Raw genomic sequence first — 17,721 nt, forward strand, 5'->3', positions numbered from 1 at the left:
TCCGGAGTAACCGGAAGTTCCTGTGTTCTTTATTCTACTCTCCGCTGAAGTCCACACAGTTTAAATTAAAGTTCCCGGATTTTTGTGGGCGCCTGCCCCGCCCCTCGTCCCCCTGCTGTGTCCATATATCGAGGCGATAGGGTTAAGGGAAGGCGGACGCCTGATGGGTTAATGAGCAAACTGAAGTGTTTTCCATGATCTTTTTTGAGGTAGGGCTGTTTACTGTCACCACCCCTGTCGGATTTTACTTCCTAAACGTACCTGTAACTATCCACTTCTCTCCATCTCTTCTGGCACCACCCTGGTTAAAGACACCATCATGTGTCGCCAAGACAGCCGCAGTAGCTTCTTAATGGCTCTCCCTGCCTCTACTTTTGCCTCTTCCAACCTGCGCTCCATTTTGAAAAATTAAAATTTGCCCATATCACTTTTTTTTTCTTAAAATTATTTACTGGCTCCCAATTACCTTGGGTAAAATACAGTCTCCACAAACCCTGCCTGATTTGGCCCCTGTCCACTGGTCTCCCTCACTCCCTTGCTCCAGACCCGCTTCAGAGGGCTATGTCCCTCAAGCTTCCTGACTGCCTGGCCTGGTCTGAATCACTCACTCTTCTTTTTTCTTCTAGTCGCAATTGAAGTACCACCTCCCGAGGGTGATTGCTTCCCCATGCGGGGTAGAACCTTTGCTGTCCTGTTCACCACTCTACCTCCAGCACAGAATTTGGCTTATGGTAGGCGCTAACTGCGTTTGTTTGTTCTTCTGTTTAATGAATGAACAGCATACATCAACATAAGAACTTGACAAATCCAGGGCTGTAAAATCATCAGTATGGTTCTGCACTGAGATCGGAGAGAAGTAATATTTCTAGGAAAATTAGGAACCCTGGGAACAGGACGCTTGCTTTAGTATCCTCTCCCTGCTCACCTCCCCTGCACTCCCATCAGCACCGACCCACACCCAATCTCATAGAAGCCTTGTAGCTAAGGATCACCCTTTCTCCTCCCCCACTCTCCTCACCCCTTGTCAACTTTTCTTTTTCGTCCTGGGGGTTGGAATGAGTAAGAAGTAGCCTGGGATTCCATTCACTCACTTAACAAACATTTCTGAGTCCTTAGCTCTAGCACCTTGCTAAGCAAGGCAAAATCTCCAGGAGGCACCATTCACATTGCATTTTCTGTGAATGGTGCTCTGGGGAGCAGCATTCACATTGCCTTTTCTGTGAATGGCAAATTCTTCCAGTTAAATATAACATGAATAGTGTCCCCTGGAGTTGACCACCCAACTGATACTGACTGAGAAGCTGAAATGAACAAAACAACCCCTTAGCCCTCCAGGAGCTGACCGGAAATCCAGTGCTAATACTACTTTGCATCTTACAGATTAGTTCTTTTACAATACTGTTTTTTTTTCTTTTTTCATTTCATTTTGTCCTTTCTGTGACTCTGGGATGAGTCTTTTTATGAGGATCCTCATATAAAGATGGACATTTAGGATTAAAGAGGATGAAATCCTGACAAAATAGGGAGTCTCCCCTTTAGAAAATTCCTAAGTAAGGCTGGGGGTGGTGGCTCACGCCTGTAATCCCAGCACTTTGGGAGGCCGAGGCGGACGGATCACCTGAGGTTAGGAGTTTGAGACCAGCCTGACCAACATGGAGAAACCCCATCTCTACTAAAAATACAAAATTAGTTGGGTGTGGTGGTGCATGCCTGTAATCCCAGCTACTCAGGAGGCTGAGGCAGGAGAATCGCTTGAACCCAGGGAGGCAGAGGTTGTGGTGAGCCAAGATTGCGCCATCGCACTCCAGCCTGGGCAACAAGAGCGAAACTCAAAAAAAAAAAAAAAAAGAAAAAGAAAATTCCAATTTTGAAGGCCTCATCCTATATTATGTCAAACATACTGAAATGCAGTAACGCCCCACATTAAATAAGATTTATAAATAACTATACATATATATAATTCAATCTAATTGCTGTTAATAGTTGACATATTGCTACATTTATATACATTTAGTTAAAAAAAATTTTTTTTCCCAGACAGCCTCTCACTCTTTCACCTAGACTGAAGTGCAGTGGCATGATCACGACTCACTGCAACCTCAACCTCCCAGACTCAAGTGATCCTTCCATCTCAGCCTCCTGAGTAGCTGGGACTGCAGCATGCGCCACTATGCCCTGCTAATTTTTTTAATTTTTTGTAGAGACACGGTCTTGCTATGTTGCCTAGACTGGTCTCCAATTCCTGGGCTCGAGTGATCCTCCCGCCTCAACCTCCCAAAGTGCTGGGATTACGGGCGTGAGCCATGCCACACGGCCATAAAATATTAATTTTCGCAGCTTTCTTATATTTTAGAACTAACAATGGAAATTTGTTCGGGTCTAAAGTATTTCAGAGGTCCTTGAAAACCCATGCCTACATACCTGATGGAAAAAGCAATCCTAGGTTAATGGTGGAAGTGGGAGTAGAGACTTCTGTTCTGTTGACTTCTTGGAAGATGGGGTACTGTCTCTCTGGGACAGCTCTTGAGAATTTCCCTGCCAGCACAGCCCCAGATAACAATCTCTAGATGGCGATTACCTGGCCTCTCTTCCCAACTTTCTAGCCTGGAGCCCCTAGTTCTCCCCTGAGCCTCCTTAGCTTGTCCTTCTTCCTAACTTGTATTTGGCTTCAGATGTGATCCACAGTCTGAAAAGTCACTAATTCATTCCTTCAACTCAGGCTTATTGAGTCCTCCTGTGTATCAGCCATTGTACTCATGGGGGAAAAAAAAGACAAAGCATATGTTAATAGTAGAGTGTGCTGGACAGGCACAGTGGCTCATGCCTGTAATCCCAGCACTTTGGGAGGGCGAGGCAGGTGGATCATCTGAGGTCAGGAGTTCGAGACCAGCCTGACCTAACATGGAGAAACTCCTGAGATCGTGCCATTGCACTCCAGCCTGGGCAACAAGAGCAAAACTCCGTTTCAAAAAAAAAAAAAAAAGTATAGTGTGCTAAAGGCTCAACGGCAAGCTGACCATGTTCTTAGATCAAAATTGGTAGAGAGTCTACAATGTGGGTTCCTTATTCATCAAATGTTTATTAAGTTTACCATGTGCAAGTCTCTGGGAACAGAGTGATGAACAAGGCACTGTACTTTTCATGGTCAGAGGAGGGAAACAGGCCATAAACAAGTGTCAAACAAAAGACTGAAGCCAGGTGCGGTGGCTCACATCTGTAATCCCAGCACTGTGGGAGGCCAAGGCAGGCGGATCATGAGATCAGGAGATCGAGACCATCCTAGCCAACATGGTGAAACCCCATCTCTACTAAAAATACAAAAAAATTAGCTGGGCATGGTGGCACGTGCCTGTAATCCCAGCTACTCCGGAAGCTGAGGCAGGAGAATTGCTTGAACCAGGGAGTTGGAGGTTGCAGTGAGCCTGGATTATGCCACTGCACTCCAGCCTGGTGACAGAGCGAGACTCCATCTACATTAAAAAAAAAAATATATATATATATATATACACACACACACACACACACACACACATACCCTCTAACCCAGGAATTTCACTCCTAGGTATACCTACATAAGCTCCAGTATACCTAAACAAGTGCAAATTTGTTTAAGTACAGTTATTTGTGGTAGCATTAGTCATTGTTTTCAATAGCAAGAAGAAAAAGGAAACAACTAAATGTCCATCAATAGGGAATGAATTATATTAATGGAGGGAGAGCCATACAATGGAAGGCTGAACAGAAATTAATAGGAATGGGGCAGATTTGTAATGTACTAGCATGGTAAAACCTTCATGATAGATATAGATATAGATATAGATATAGATATAGATATATATACATATACATATACATATACATATACATATATATATATATATATATATATCTCTTGTGTCTCAGCCTCCCGAGTAGCTGGGATTACAGGTGTGTGCCACCACATCCGGCTAATTTTTGTATTTTTTAGTAGAGACAGGGCTTCACCATGTTGGTAAGGCTGTCTTGAACTCCCGACCTCAGGTGATCCACCTGTCTCAGCCTCCCAAAGTGCTGGGATTATAGGCATGAGCCATCACACCTGGCCAAATATTTTTGATAAGTATCAAGTGCACAGTGCAGAACAAAATATGTGTGTGTGTATGCATGTGTATGTACACCTATACACTTATATACAGTACCCCATGTGAAGAAAAATAAGGGTACGTGTTATGCGCGTAGTATTATGGTTGTTATTTTTGAGAATATATCTAGAAAGATAAAAAAGAAAGTGGAAATAGTTCTTGCCTCTGGTGGGAAGTGGGACTATGTGCCTGATCAATAGGGAAGTAAGGAACACTTTTTTTTTTTTTTTTTAAACGGAGTTTTTGCTCTTGTTACCCAGGTTGGAGTGCAATGGCGCGATCTTAGCTCACTGCAACCTCTGCCTCCCAGGTTCAAGCGATTCTGCTGCCTCAGCCTCCTGAGTAGCTGGGATTATAGGCATGCGCCTCCACGCCTGGCTAATTTTGTATTTTTAGTAAAGATGGGGTTTCTCCATGTTGGTCAGGCTGGTCTTGAACTCCCCACCTCAGGTGATCCGTCCGCCTCAGCCTCCCAAAGTGCTAGGATTACAGGCGTGAGCCACCGTGCCTGGCCAGGAACGCTTTTTATTTTTGTACCTTTAAAAGTGTGTACCGTCTGTGTATATAATCAGTTAAAAACAAAGAAAAGCTGAGTGTGGTGGCTCATGCCTGTAATCCCAGCCCTTAAGGAGGCCGAGGCCGGCGGCAGATCACCTGAGGTCAGGAGTTCAAGACCGGCCTGACCAAAACGGTGAAAACTCATCTCTACAAAAACATAAAAATTAGCCAGGCATGATGGCAAGTGCCTGTAATCCCAGCTGGTTGGGAGGCTGAGGTGGGAGACTTGCTTGAACCTAGGAGGCAGAGATTGCAGTGAGCCAAGACTGTACCACTGCACTCCAGCCTGGGCAACAGAGCAAGTCTCTGTCTCAAAACAAAAACAAAAACACAAAGAAAAAATGTAAAACAATTTCATGCAGTAGCAAGCATCGAGTTAAATACAGTTGACCCTTGAACAACACAGGTTTGAATTGCACGGGTCCATTTATACTCACATTTCTTCCACCTCTGCCACCCCCAAAATAGCAAGACCAACCCCATCTCTTTTCCTTTCTCTTCCCCCTCCTCAGCCTACTCAATGTGAAGATGATGAGGATGAAAACCTTTGTGATGATCCACTTCCACTTAATGAATGGTAAATATGTTTTTTCTTACTTATGATTTTCTTAGTAGCATTTTCTTTTCTCTAGCTTCCTTTATTGTAAAAATACAGTATATAACACATATCACATACAAAATGTGTGTAAATGGACTGTTTGCTATTGATAAGTATTCTGGTAAACAGTAGACTATTAGTTTTTTTTGTTTTGTGACAAGGTCTCCCTCTGTCGCCCAGCCTGGAATGCCGTGGTGTGATCATGGCTCACTGCAGCCAAAAACTTCTGGGCTAAAGCAATCCTCTACTAAAAATACAAAAATTAGCCAGGCATGGTGGTGCGCTTCTGTAATCCCAGCTACTCAGGAGGCTGAGGCAGGAGAATTGCTTGAACCCGGGAGGCAGAGGTTGCAGTGAGCTGAGATTGCACCGTTGCATTCCAGCCTGGACAACAGAGCGAGACTCCATCTCGAAAATAAAATAATAATAATAATAATAATAATAATAATAATAATAATAGGGCTGGGTGTGGTGGCTCATGCCTGTAATCCCAGCACTTTGGGAGGCCAAGGTGGACAGATCACCTGAGGTCAGGAGTCTCAATTAAAAAATAAATAGGCCGGGCACAGTGGCTCATGCCCATAATCCCAGCACTTTGGGAGGCCGAGGTGGGCAGATCACCTGAGGTCAGGAGTTTGAGACCAGCCTGGCCAACACGGAGAAACGCTGCCTCTATCAAAAATACAAAAATTAGCTGGATGTGGTGGTGCATGCTATAATCCCAGTAATACCAGCTACTCGGAAGGCTGAGGCAGGAGAATCACTCGAATCCGGGACACGGAGGTTGCAGTGAGCCGACATCATGCCACTGCGCTCCAGCCTGGGTGACAGTGAGACTCTGTCTCAGAAAAAAAAAAAAAAAAAAAAAAAAAAAAAAAAAATATATATATATATATATATATATATATATATATATATATATGTGTGTATATATATATATATACACATATATATGTGTATATATATATACACACACACATATATATGTGTATATATAAAATAAAATAAATAATAATAAAACATTTACTTTGGCTGCTGTTGCTGCGGGGAGAATTGCAGGGTGTCAAAAGTAGCACTGGTGGAGGGGTAGTGATCAAAGTCTGGTGCTTTAGCCCAAAGGAGAAATGATAGAGACTCAGACTAGCTGGTGATGGAGGTAGAATAAGCATAAATGTATCAAAAAGAGGAGTTGATAGATCTTAAAGAATGATTGGATTTGAAGGGCAAAGGAAGAGAAGAATCAACCAGGTGGGTTCAGTGAATGAAACCATCAGAAACGAATTGTCCCCTGAAATCAAGACTTTGTGATTGCCATAGTTGTATGCTTCTCAAAGGTTCCTCGTCTCCTCTTCCTTGGACCAAAAGTCAGAGGCAAGAATGCCCTCATTCATACCCCAGTGGTCTATACCTCCAGCAGCAAGTCGAGTGAGCAAGTGATGTCCTGAAAGGCCCAGTGGATCAGTGGAATGAAGCGGGCAGGAAGACTTAGTGCTCCTGAAACAAGGAATCCAGAATCCAGGAGAAGGATGGCTCAGTGGGGCTTTCAAGGGACAAGTATGGGGGTTGAAGGGGTCACTGTCCCTATACCAAATCCGAAAATATTGTGACCAGGAACCATTCTGTCCAACTCTTCTATTTCAGGTGGCAAAGCAAAGCTATATTCAAGACCACATGCAAAGCTACTCCCTGAGCAAAGAGTCACAGATAAAACGGGGGCACCAGTAGAATGGCCAGGACAAACGCAGTGCAGCACAGAGACTCAGACCCTGGCAGCCATGCCTGCGCAGGCAGTGATGAGAGTGACATGTACTGTTGTGGACATGCACAAAAGTGAGGTGAGTCGCAGGACAGAAGAGTGCTTTTTGTTTCAGCAGAGCAGCCTGGGGAGAGATAAAAGCTACTCCTGGGGCCTGGGCCTGCATTCCTGAGATGTGGGTAAGAGGGGCCCAGGGTCAGAGTGTCTGGCAAGCTTGGCTCTGCCCCTTTGCTGTCCTGGAGACTAGGGCTAATCCTGGGCTCAGGGAGTGGCCTCCCCATGGTTAGGATACAAGTGCTCATCAAGGGCCACCCCTAGGAAGGACCAATTTTCCTATCAGAAGCTTCTAAGTTATCCTCCTTTGGCCCAAAGGGACACCTCAAGCCTACTCTGAGGAACTCTTTCCAATGAACTAATTCCTACAGTCACTTCCCCAGCAACCTGTGCCTCAGCCTCAAGGCACTGTGGGGTAGGCCTCAGTTTGTGGCCTGGACATCGGACTGTGGACCAGACGACTCCTCCCGATTTCTGTTTGTTTTCAGTCCTCTGACCCCAAGCTGGCTGGTGAAGTAGGTAGAGGGAGGAGACTTTGGTGCATGCATACACACACACACACACACACACACACACACACACACACACACACACACACACACGTCTCCTGTGCCCCCCAGTCTCCATGGCTGGTCAATGATTGACTGGCATTTCACAGGCCGCTGGTTGCAGCCCCAGCCTGTTGACTTAGAGGTCACCCTCGGAAGCTAGAGCCCTGTCCTGCCTCTTCAGTGTCAGTGGTCACTCCACTGCCCACAGGCTGGGGTCTTGGGCAAAACACACGCATCTGCCCTGATCTGAGTTTGCTGCCCTCTGTCCCGCAGTCAGCCCCACTCTGTTCCCACTCCCTCTCCCCAGCCCCCTAGCTAGACCCCTCTCACCAGCACCCCTTTCCCTTCCCTGAGGGTCCCCCTCGCTGTCTTTGTCCCTCAGACATCCTCTTTCCTGGGCTCTCCTGCCAGGCCCTGCTGGAGGGACAGTTAAGGAGGAAATCGAATCAGCAGCGCCCACCCCTGCCCCCCTTCCTCTCCTCTTGTCAGACACCAGACGAGGTTTTTTCCTCTGGCTTCCCAGCTCTGAATGGGCTCATTCTTTTTCAGAGGCTCGGCCCCTCTCGAGCCTCCTCCCCAGGGCGTGAGTTCTGACCCCAGCTCCTCCCCCCATCCCCACTCCAGCCCCCTCTCCAGCTTGCTCCACCCTCTCTACCGCCCACCGGGACTGGGCATTGTCTGCCAGTCCGGGTTTCTTCCTGGGATTTGGGATGCAGAGAGGATGGGTTTGCTTGGGCGGGGGGGTGGAGAGTGAAGGGGGGAAGCAGGATCTTTGTAGAGGGAGGGACCTACAGTTACCTGGACTTCTTTCCTCTGTCTCCCCTCTTGGTACCCTTGACTGGGGCTCTTGAGGGTAATGGGTGAAGCCAAATCTGCCATGGCTCAGTTCCCAGCTCAGCTCTGTGACCTTGGGAAAGTTCCTTTAGCTCGTGGAATCTCAAGGCTCAAGGTTCCTCTTCTGCAAAATGGGGAATGATAACACCTGCCTCCTCTGGAGTCTTGGGGACTCAGTGTTCTGAGGAACGTGGCTGTAGGTCAGAGTGGCACAGAGTAGGGTCCAATGAAGCATGGCGTCCACAGTAGCTTTCCTGACTGGACTAACCTTTCCGGACACAACAGCAGGGCAGGGGTGGGGCCTGGGGAGAAAGGACACCTCTAACCCTGATCCTAACATCCCGATGGCCTCTAAGGCTGCCTGCACACTCATCCAGGTGCAAGCCCTCCAAGGTGTGGTGTGATGAACCAGTGACTCCTGGAGCCAGGTCAGCGCATCCTCTTCCCGCAGGGCTGTAAGCTGCAGGACTGAGAGGCAGGTTGACCAGGTCCTGGGCTGGATGATGGGGTGAGAGTAAGGGGTCAGTTTTGATACATGCCCAACTTTTCTCTCTAGCCCTAAGACATCCTGGGCAAATTGCTTACCTCAGTTCCCCTGATCCTCACCCTAACCCTAACACCAGCTCAAGAGAAAATAGGGATATTGATGGCCATCCAGAAGGGCTGCTGTGTTCCATACACAGCAATATTTCTCGAATGTTTGTGACAGCGGTCCAAGGAATAAGTTAATTTTACATTATCACTCTGGATACCTGTACAAAACTCCACCTTATCCTTACTATATGAATGTGCTAGGGTTGTTTTTTTGTTTTGTTTTTTTTTTTTTTTTTTGAGACAGAGTTTCGCTCTTGTTGCCCAGGCTGGAGTACAATGGCGCGATCTTGGCTCACCGCAACCTCCGCTTCCCAGGTTCAAGCGATTCACCTGCCTCAGCCTTCCCGAGTAGCTGGGATTACAGGCATGCGCCACCATGCCCGGCTAATTTTGTGTTTTTAGTAGAGACAGGGTTTCTCCATGTTGGTCAGGCTGGTACCAAACTCCCGACCTCAGGTGATCCACCTGCCTTGGCCTCCCAAAGTGCTGCAATTACAGGCATGAGCCACCGCACCCAGCCGTGCTAGGGTCTTTTTCTGTTCAATTCCTTTCTCTCTCTTGCTCTCTTTCTTTCTTTCAATGGAGTCTTACTCTGTCACCCAGGCTGGAGTGCAGTGGCAAGATCTCAGCTCACTGCAACCTCTGCCCTCTGAGTTCAAGCAATTCTCCTGCCTCAGCCTCCCGAGTAGCTGGGATTACAGGTGCCTGCCACCACACCTAGTTAATTTTTGTACTTTTAGTAGAGATGGGGTTTTGTCATGTTGGCCAGGCTGGTCTCGAACTCCTGACCTCGTGATCTGCCTGTCTTGGCCTCCCAAAGTGCTGGGATTACAGGCATGAGCCGCCATACTCGGCCAACTTTGTATTACTTTCTTAAAGAGAGTTTCCCAAATTATATAAGCTTCAGGCCCCACAAAACCTAGATCTGCCCCAGTATAACTAAATCTGGGACCATTTATTGAGCAATTATTATGTGCCAAGTATTGCGCTGAGTGCTTCCAGAGCATTATCTCCTTTAACCCCAGCATAGTATGTCAGATGCTGTTTTACAGATGAGCCAACTGAGACCAGAGATGCTCAGTCACTTGCCCAAGGTGACATGACTGATATGGAATAGAGTCAAGATTTTTTTTTTTTTTTTTGACACGGAGTCTCACTCTGTCTCCCAGGCTGGAGTGCAGAGGCGCAATCTCAGCTCACTGCAAGCTCTGCCTCCCAGGTTCACGCCATTCTCCTGCCTCAGCCTCCTGAGTAGCTGGGACTACAGGCACCCGCCACCACACCTGGCTAATTTTTTGTATTTTTAGCAGAGACAGGGTTTCACCGTGTTAGCCAGGATGGTCTCGATCTCCTGACCTCGTGATCTGCCTGCCTCGGCCTCCCAAAGTGCTGGAATTACAGGTGTGAGCCACCGCGACTGGCCAGATTCAAGATTTGAACCCAGGTCCTCTTGGTCCCAGAGGCCCCTGTTTCTCAACTCCCTAGGATGGCATAGCAACCTGTCCCACAAGAGGTGCCTGCTTTAAGTGTGCTCAGCACATGGAAGCAAGTTTAGAAATGCAAGTGTATACCTGTAAAGAGGTGTGGGAGATGGGGGGGAGGGAAGAGAGAAAGAGATGCTGGTGTCCTTCATTCTCCAGTCCCTGATAGGTGCCTTTGATCCCTTCTTGACCAGTATAGCTGCATTCTTGGCTGGGGCATTCCAACTAGAACTGCCAAATTTAGCACATAAAAATAAGGAGGCCCAGTTAAATTTGAATTTCAGATAAACAATGAATAATTTGTTAGTATAAATATGTCCCATGCAATATCTTGTTGAAATTAAAAAAAAAAAAAAAAGTCTTCCTTCCATCCCCACCCCTACCACTAGGCCTAAGGAATAGGGTCAGGGGCTCCAAATAGAATGTGGTTGAGAAGTGGAATTAAGCAGGCTAATAGAAGGCAAGGGGCAAAGAAGAAACCTTGAATGCATTGGGTGCTGGGTGCCTCCTTAAATAAGCAAGAAGGGTGCATTTTGAAGAATTGAGATAGAAGTCTTTTTGGGCTGGGTGCAGTTGCTCGTGGTTGTAATTCCAGCACTTTGGGAGGCTGAGGCGGGAGGATCACCTGAGGTTGGGAGTTCAAGACCAGCCTCACCAACGTGGAGAAACCCTGTCTTTACTAAAAATACAAAAAATTAGCTGGTCATGGTGGCACATGCCTGTAATCCCAGCTGCTCGGGAGGCTGAGGCAGGAGAATCACTTGAACCAGGGAGGCAGAGGTTGTGGTGAGCAGAGATCGCGCCATTGCTCTCCAGCCTGGGCAACAAGAGCAAAAGTTCGTTTAAAAAAAAAAAAAAGTCCTTTCGATGTGACTGTCTCCTCCCAAATTTGTAGACCCTCTTAAGATCATGCTTTTCAGATACTTCAAAGATTCCAGAAGATATGCCCCGGGGGTCCTGGAAGCCACAAGGTAAACACAACACATCCCCCTCCTTGACTATCAATTTTACTAGAGGATGTGGTGGGAAAACCATTATTTGATATTAAAACAAATAGGCTTGGGATGGAGTAGGATGCAAGCTCCCCAGGAAAGTTTAAGATAAAACCTGAGACTTAAAAGGGTGTTAAGAGTGGCAGCCTAGGGAATTTATCCCGGACTCCGGGGGAGGGGGCAGAGTCACCAGCCTCTGCATTTAGGGATTCTCCGAGGAAAAGTGTGAGAACGGCTGCAGGCAACCCAGGCGTCCCGGCGCTAGGAGGGACGCACCCAGGCCTGCGCGAAGAGAGGGAGAAAGTGAAGCTGGGAGTTGCCACTCCCAGACTTGTTGGAATGCAGTTGGAGGGGGCGAGCTGGGAGCGCGCTTGCTCCCAATCACAGGAGAAGGAGGAGGTGGAGGAGGAGGGCTGCTTGAGGAAGTATAAGAATGAAGTTGTGAAGCTGAGATTCCCCTCCATTGGGACCGGAGAAACCAGGGGAGCCCCCCGGGCAGCCGCGCGCCCCTTCCCACGGGGCCCTTTACTGCGCCGCGCGCCCGGCCCCCACCCCTCGCAGCACCCCGCGCCCCGCGCCCTCCCAGCCGGGTCCAGCCGGAGCCATGGGGCCGGAGCCGCAGTGAGCACCATGGAGCTGGCGGCCTTGTGCCGCTGGGGGCTCCTCCTCGCCCTCTTGCCCCCCGGAGCCGCGAGCACCCAAGGTGGGTCTGGTGTGGGGAGGGGACGGAGCAGCGGCGGGACCCTGCCCTGTGGATGCCCCGCCGAGGTCCCGCGGCCGGCGGGGCCAGAGGGGCCCGGACGAGCTCTCCTATCCCGAAGTTGTGGACAGTCGAGACGCTCAGGGCAGCCGGGCCCTGGGGCCCTCGGGCGGGAGGGGGCAGTTACACGGCAGCGGCTCGAGATGGCCCATCCAAGAGACTGGCGCTTTCCAGGCTCCGAGGGGCTCCGGGAACTTGTCAAAGAAGTTCTCTGAAATTGTTCAGAAAGTTTTCCCGCAAAGGGTGTATTGCGTAGAGCGCGCGCGCGCGTTTCCCCCCTTCTTGAGCCCCCTCAAGCTTTCTCAAAGCCTTTCCAGTTGGCAGCCTCCGCCTCCGGACTGGCCTGGGCTGGATTCCTTGGGGGGGTCCTCTGCCCTGCCCCTCCTCCAGCCCCTCCCCGCTCCCCTTCAGACGATTTTGGTTTGGTTGCTCCTGCTTCTGGCGGGGTCGGGTGTGTGTGTGTGTGGTGGAGTGGAGGGTGGCATAGCAACCTGTCCCAACCAGAGCCGGGGAGGAAAGGGTGGCCCGGAGGGTGGCCTCTTGCTGGGGTCTGGGTTGGGGGCGGGGGAGACGTTTGCTTTGAACAGATTCTTGGGGCCAGCTTAGGGACTGTGCTCTGTGACTTTTGGAGCGCGTGGACCATGGAGGGGTGGGGGTGGGTTTCTTGGGGTGTAAAGTGGGAGAGTTCCCAGAGAAGGAAGCTAAGAAATAAGGCCAGATGGGAGCCTAGGGAGGGCTGCGTTGTTCTGCTGCCTTTTCCTTGGTGCTGTGCGTGGGGAAGGGTGAGTGGGGGCAGTGTGTATCCTGACCCATCTGTCCACCTGTGTGCATTAATCATAAAAGCTAACATATAGCCTGGGCCAGGTATACTCTGCCAGGAACTGTTTGTGGTGTTTTGCATGCATTCTCCTTTAATCCTAGAACACCCCTATAGTGGAAGTTCTGCCAGCATTCTGGACTGAGTAGCAGTCCAGAGGTTGAGTAGCAGCTAGTAAGTGGTGGGGTCAAGATGGGACCCCAGGCAGTGCGACCCCCAACCATGCATTCGAAATCGCTATATGGATGAGTGCACCTGGAGCAATGAGGGACACTGCTCCCTGAGTCACTGGGCTGCAGGGGAGACAAAATGAAAGTGTTCTGGGAGTCGTGGGTGGTCTCCATAGGTCAGAGGGTCTGGGGAGGGAGTGGGTGTCATCGTGGCTGTGTGTTGCCCGAGGGGCCCTCTGTGAGTGAGTGCATGGCCGTGTTATCTCTGCAGGTCTACGCCAGGGTGTTCCTCAGTTGTGTGGTCTTTGTATTTGTGTGTCTGGGCTTTGTGTTGCCAAACAGCAGTCTCTCTGCTGACTTGGGGACACAGGCTGAACTCTGTCCTCTGCAGGAACTCCCTTAAGGTGCTGGGCCAGATCTGCCATAAACAGAGGGAGGTAGCCTTCTATGGCCACGCCTTCTTGCTGAGGAAGAAGGTTCCTCTCTTCCAGGGAGTACATCCTTGCCCTCCCTGTTTCCCAGACAAGCATCTTCACCTCTCATCTTCTGATGAGAAGGGTGAGGCCATACTGAGCTGTCAGGCTGAGCTGCTGCCCTTCCTCACCTTGGGCTGGGAGTTGATCAGGGAATGGCAGTTGCTGCAGAGCTGGATTTGAGGGCTGGGTTCTCTGGATGGGGCCTCCTCATGTCCTCACCCCTCAACCTGCACTATTGATTGTGTTGTGCAGGAGTTAGTTAAAAAGTCATTGCACAGCCTGGGCAACAAGGCAAAACTCTGTACAAAAAATACAAAAATTAGTTGGATGTGATTACACGTGCCTGTAGTCCCAGCTACTCCGGAGGCTGAGGCAGGAGGATCACCTGAGCCCAGGAAGTTGAGGCTTGCAGTGAGCTGTGATTGCAAATGCTCTCCAGCCTGGGTGACAGTGTGAGACTCCGTTTCAGAAAAAAAGTATACCACCCAGCTGCCTCCAGCACCCAGATTTTACCCAAGGGGTGAGGTCTGGGGCAGGAATGTGGGGGAAGGGGAGGCCTAGGGGGAGCCCCAGAGGGGTCAGGATTTTTCTGAAATCCTTTCTTAGAGGTATGGGTTTTACAAATTGCAGCAAATACATCCTTTTAATCTTGCAGAACTCCTTCATATTTTAATTCCAGTATGATTCTTCCAACAGCCTCCTCTCTTTACTATACTTGGGGAAAGTACTCATTTTATTTGTCAAGAAAAAAACAATTGAAAAGATAGGGATCAAATGTAAAAAGAAAAAATACGTGGCATTCCAAAGTCAAACACAAAGCATGTTTAATTTTCTCGTGGTTTGGGATTACCCATATTCCTGCTGTATGAACCTGTCTTGTCTTAACTTTTAAGAAATGTACGGTGTACTTCCTATATGCTAGGTTTTTATCCATGCTTTCATTTAATCTCTGTGACAGTCCTGTGAAGTAGGTGCACAGATGAGAAAATGGAAGTTCAGAGAAATGAAGCAACTTATCCAAGGCTCCCAGCTACCCAGTAATGTCCAGGGAATTTTTGGACTCTGAAGAGGAGGCATTAAGAGGTGGTTAGAGTCTTATTCCAGCCAACAATAATGGGTTGAACAAAGCCTTAGGGGCAGGCAGGTGGCCAGATGGGAGGAGAAGCGCTCCTCTTGTTCAGGCGAATGACCTTTCCATCCACTTCTCTAGGCTGTAGAAAGTGGAGCTGAGCTGGGGGCCCTGAGGTTCCCTCTTGACTTCAGAGTCCTCTCCCTTCCTGTCCAGCCAATGCCTGTCTTCCTTTTGGGCCCTACCAGCATGACAGGGGGCTGCGGGCAGGAGGGGACAGAGGCCACGTTGACACACAGGGCTGTGGGTGAGAGAGACAGCTGAAGTGTCAGCGTGAGGGGCCAGTGTGGGGCTGCGGCTGGGAGGGCTGGGGTGGGGCCCAGGGTAGTTGTGCCTGTCCTTGGGTGATGGAATGATCTGGAAAGAGATTCCTTCCCTGCCCTCCACCTGTGAGAAGCCCCTCTAGAGTGACATCTCCATCTTATGTTTGGCCACCCATCCTCCCCCTGGGAAGAGAGCCGAGGTGGGGTAAGGGATGTGTACTCTTTCAAGGAGTGGGAGAATTATTCTAGCGAATGTTTGTGTTGTCCCAGTTCTGTTTACAAAGCCTCGTCATGTTTACAGATGGCTGCGCAATTCATTACCTCATTTAACTCTCATGTACCTCCTCTGAGGGAGTAAGAGCTGTTACAGCCAAGTTTAGGTCAGTAAATATTCACCAAGTTGCAGGTACTGCAGGGCATAGAGATGAATCCGATTTAGCTTCTGCCCTGGAGGTCTGGGAACTTGCTCAAGATCACTCAGTGAGCAGCTGAGCTAGGGTTCTCAACTAAAGACCCTGGGCCCAGGCCCTGGTCTGATGTCAGGCCTGATACACCAGGTGTTTGTGGTCGGGGAATCCCAGTGTCACTTGAATGGGCTGTGACATTATGGGTCTGGGAGAGCTGAGCTTTGGGGACACAGGTCATTTTACTGTAGTATTCATGGAAACCAAGGGAAGTATTGGCTTTTCTGCTGTGAGCAAGAGGAGCAGCTGGGGCTGCAAGCTGGTGGGGAGGAGAGAACCCACCTGAGAGAAACCTCAGGACTGGGGTCAAGTCCTGACCACCAGAGTCCAGAGAGACATGAAGGACTGTGACCAGCTCTGAGCAGAGAGATGGATTCCATGACCTCAACTGGTCCCTTTTGTTCGGAGACTCGTGACTGGACTTCATTCATCCACTCATTCATTCATTCACTCAGCAGACACTTATCTAGCGCTCCCTGTGGCTGGTCCTGCCTCATACTGTCTTTGCTCTGGAGAATTGGAGGTTGGGGTTCCTGAGGGGCAGGGTCCTGGAGACAAGGACACTCCTGGGTAGAATTAGGACCTACCCCCCAGGAAATCAACGGGGACCAGGTGCCGTGGCTCACACCTGTAATCCCAGCACTTTGGGAGGCCGAGACGGGCGGATCACAAGGTCAGCAGTTCAGGACCAGCCTGGCCAACATGGTGAAACCCGCCTCAACTAAAAATACAAAAATTAGCCAGGTGTGGTGTCAGGCACCCGTAATCCCAGCTACTGAGGAGGCTGAGGCAGGAGAATTGCTTGAACCCGGGAGGCAGAGGTTGCAGTGAGCCGAGATTGCGCCACTGCACTCCAGCCTGGCGACAGGGCGAGACTCCATCTCAAAAAAAGAAAACCAATGGGACAGGGCAGATATGGGGACAATGGTAAGGAGATGGGAGAGTGGGAGGGAGGTGTCAGGAAGACCTTCTTGACTTCATGTAGGCTGGTGGGGGTGTTAGCCAGCAAGCCTCCAGTTCCCTGGGAACCGTTCTCAGGGTACCAATTTTACCACCTGTCTGCAAACACTTTAAGATTCTTAATCAGACTCAAATTGGCCACAAATCAGGTAAACAAACTCACTAGTGGGGTGGGGCTACCACCCGTTCTGACCCTCCAGCCCAACCCAGCCCAGCCACCCTGCCCTCCGTAGAGCCTGTGGTGTTTATCGGTGGCATTGGGAGAATTAGTGTGTATTTATGTTGGCGTGGGGTGTGGGGTGGATTTGTGTGTGTGCAGTTAGGCCTAGTGGAAGGAATGTGGGATCTGAAGGCAGGCCAGCCTGAGTTCCAGTCCTGCCTGTTGCTCACAAGCTTTATGAGGCGAGAGCTAACCCCTGCCAGCCTCAGTTGTCTTCTTTGCAAGATGGAGGTTGCAGCCCCAGTCTCTGGAGCATGTTATGCAGATCCACCGAGAGTGCCTGCCAGGCACACAGTAGGTGCTCAGCTCAGTTACTGTGGCGGCCCCCACTCCCCATTGTTGTTGTTTTCCTATTGCCTGGCGGCCACAGCTGGTATCCCTTGAAAAGGGCTACAGGGGGTGGAGTCGGACCCTGCCCCAGCCCTGTGGAGACCCTGGGCTTGGGCCAGGGCCTGGGGTCTGGGCCTGCAGACAGCTGTGTCTATAAAGCAGCTGAAGGGCTGAGGCCGGGGGAGGTCCTGGCAGCAGGGCGTTATTTTGGGCCTGGCCTGCCACCCCCAGCTCCTGTTTCTCTTGGGAGTCTGTTGGGGGAGGAAGTGTGGGGAAGAGGAGGGGGTGCAAGTGGGTGAGGCATGGAGTGGGGAGGCCTCCCTCAGGGACATGGACCCTTGAGTTCTATTTCTGTTCCTCCCTCCTGTTCCTCCCTCTTTGTCCTTATCTGCCTAGAGAGGTGGGAATAGAGGCCATTCTGAGTATCACTAGGAGACCACCAGTTTGTGGCCACTGGCCACTGGCCCAGGCAGGGAACCTGGGGGCTTGCCCTACCAGCCTCTCCCAGCAATCTGAAGGCAGGGGGTACCTCGTATTACCCCCTAGGATTTGACCTTAGGCTCCAACTTGCTGGGAGAGCAGTGCCTCTGGTG

General features: G+C 49.8%; 1 protein-coding gene across 32 annotated transcripts in view, besides 7 other annotated features; it reads left to right on the plus strand.

Annotated features, from left to right (window-relative positions):
- Window positions 7–116: an enhancer, noted in NCBI's record as "active region_12103". NCBI's record gives its function as "activates an Ori minimal core promoter by ATAC-STARR-seq in GM12878 lymphoblastoid cells {active_cell/tissue: GM12878}" and the evidence as "EXISTENCE:reporter gene assay evidence [ECO:0000049][PMID:35858748]".
- ERBB2 (erb-b2 receptor tyrosine kinase 2) overlaps window positions 25–17,721 on the plus strand; it is a 40,565-nt gene continuing 22,868 nt past the window's right edge. For 26 of the 32 annotated variants that reach the window (NR_110535.2, NM_001382787.1, NM_001382784.1 and 23 more), the window contains exon 1: window positions 11,995–12,242. Coding sequence is in view for 27 of the 32 variants with exons in the window: in NM_001382787.1 (NP_001369716.1) it covers window positions 12,170–12,242 (73 nt within the window). In the remaining 5 variants the exon portion in view is untranslated. Of the gene's footprint in view, window positions 210–626; window positions 732–5,191; window positions 5,257–6,611; window positions 7,113–11,467; window positions 11,519–11,994; window positions 12,243–14,720; window positions 14,846–17,721 lie in introns of those variants that run through there. The other 6 variants (NM_001005862.3, NM_001289938.2, XM_047435590.1 and 3 more) reach the window with 5 other exon arrangements.
- Window positions 827–1,787: an enhancer, noted in NCBI's record as "OCT4-NANOG-H3K27ac hESC enhancer chr17:37845149-37846109 (GRCh37/hg19 assembly coordinates)". NCBI's record gives its function as "activates a minimal SCP1, AML or CMV promoter by ChIP-STARR-seq in naive and primed H9 embryonic stem cells {active_cell/tissue: H9 hESC(naive and primed)}" and the evidence as "EXISTENCE:reporter gene assay evidence [ECO:0000049][PMID:30033119]".
- Window positions 1,067–1,361: a silencer, noted in NCBI's record as "tiled region #544; K562 Repressive non-DNase unmatched - State 1:Tss". NCBI's record gives its function as "represses a minimal TATA promoter and a strong SV40 promoter by Sharpr-MPRA in K562 cells {active_cell/tissue: K562}" and the evidence as "EXISTENCE:reporter gene assay evidence [ECO:0000049][PMID:27701403]".
- Window positions 8,087–8,381: a silencer, noted in NCBI's record as "tiled region #353; K562 Repressive non-DNase unmatched - State 23:Low". NCBI's record gives its function as "represses a minimal TATA promoter and a strong SV40 promoter by Sharpr-MPRA in K562 cells {active_cell/tissue: K562}" and the evidence as "EXISTENCE:reporter gene assay evidence [ECO:0000049][PMID:27701403]".
- Window positions 12,977–13,478: an enhancer, noted in NCBI's record as "H3K4me1 hESC enhancer chr17:37857299-37857800 (GRCh37/hg19 assembly coordinates)". NCBI's record gives its function as "activates a minimal SCP1, AML or CMV promoter by ChIP-STARR-seq in naive H9 embryonic stem cells {active_cell/tissue: H9 hESC(naive)}" and the evidence as "EXISTENCE:reporter gene assay evidence [ECO:0000049][PMID:30033119]".
- Window positions 13,479–13,978: an enhancer, noted in NCBI's record as "H3K4me1 hESC enhancer chr17:37857801-37858300 (GRCh37/hg19 assembly coordinates)". NCBI's record gives its function as "activates a minimal SCP1, AML or CMV promoter by ChIP-STARR-seq in naive H9 embryonic stem cells {active_cell/tissue: H9 hESC(naive)}" and the evidence as "EXISTENCE:reporter gene assay evidence [ECO:0000049][PMID:30033119]".
- Window positions 16,725–17,597: an enhancer, noted in NCBI's record as "H3K27ac-H3K4me1 hESC enhancer chr17:37861047-37861919 (GRCh37/hg19 assembly coordinates)". NCBI's record gives its function as "activates a minimal SCP1, AML or CMV promoter by ChIP-STARR-seq in naive H9 embryonic stem cells {active_cell/tissue: H9 hESC(naive)}" and the evidence as "EXISTENCE:reporter gene assay evidence [ECO:0000049][PMID:30033119]".

The sequence above is a fragment of the Homo sapiens genome, chromosome 17, assembly GCF_000001405.40.
Source record: "Homo sapiens chromosome 17, GRCh38.p14 Primary Assembly".
Classification (NCBI taxonomy): domain Eukaryota; kingdom Metazoa; phylum Chordata; class Mammalia; order Primates; family Hominidae; genus Homo; species Homo sapiens.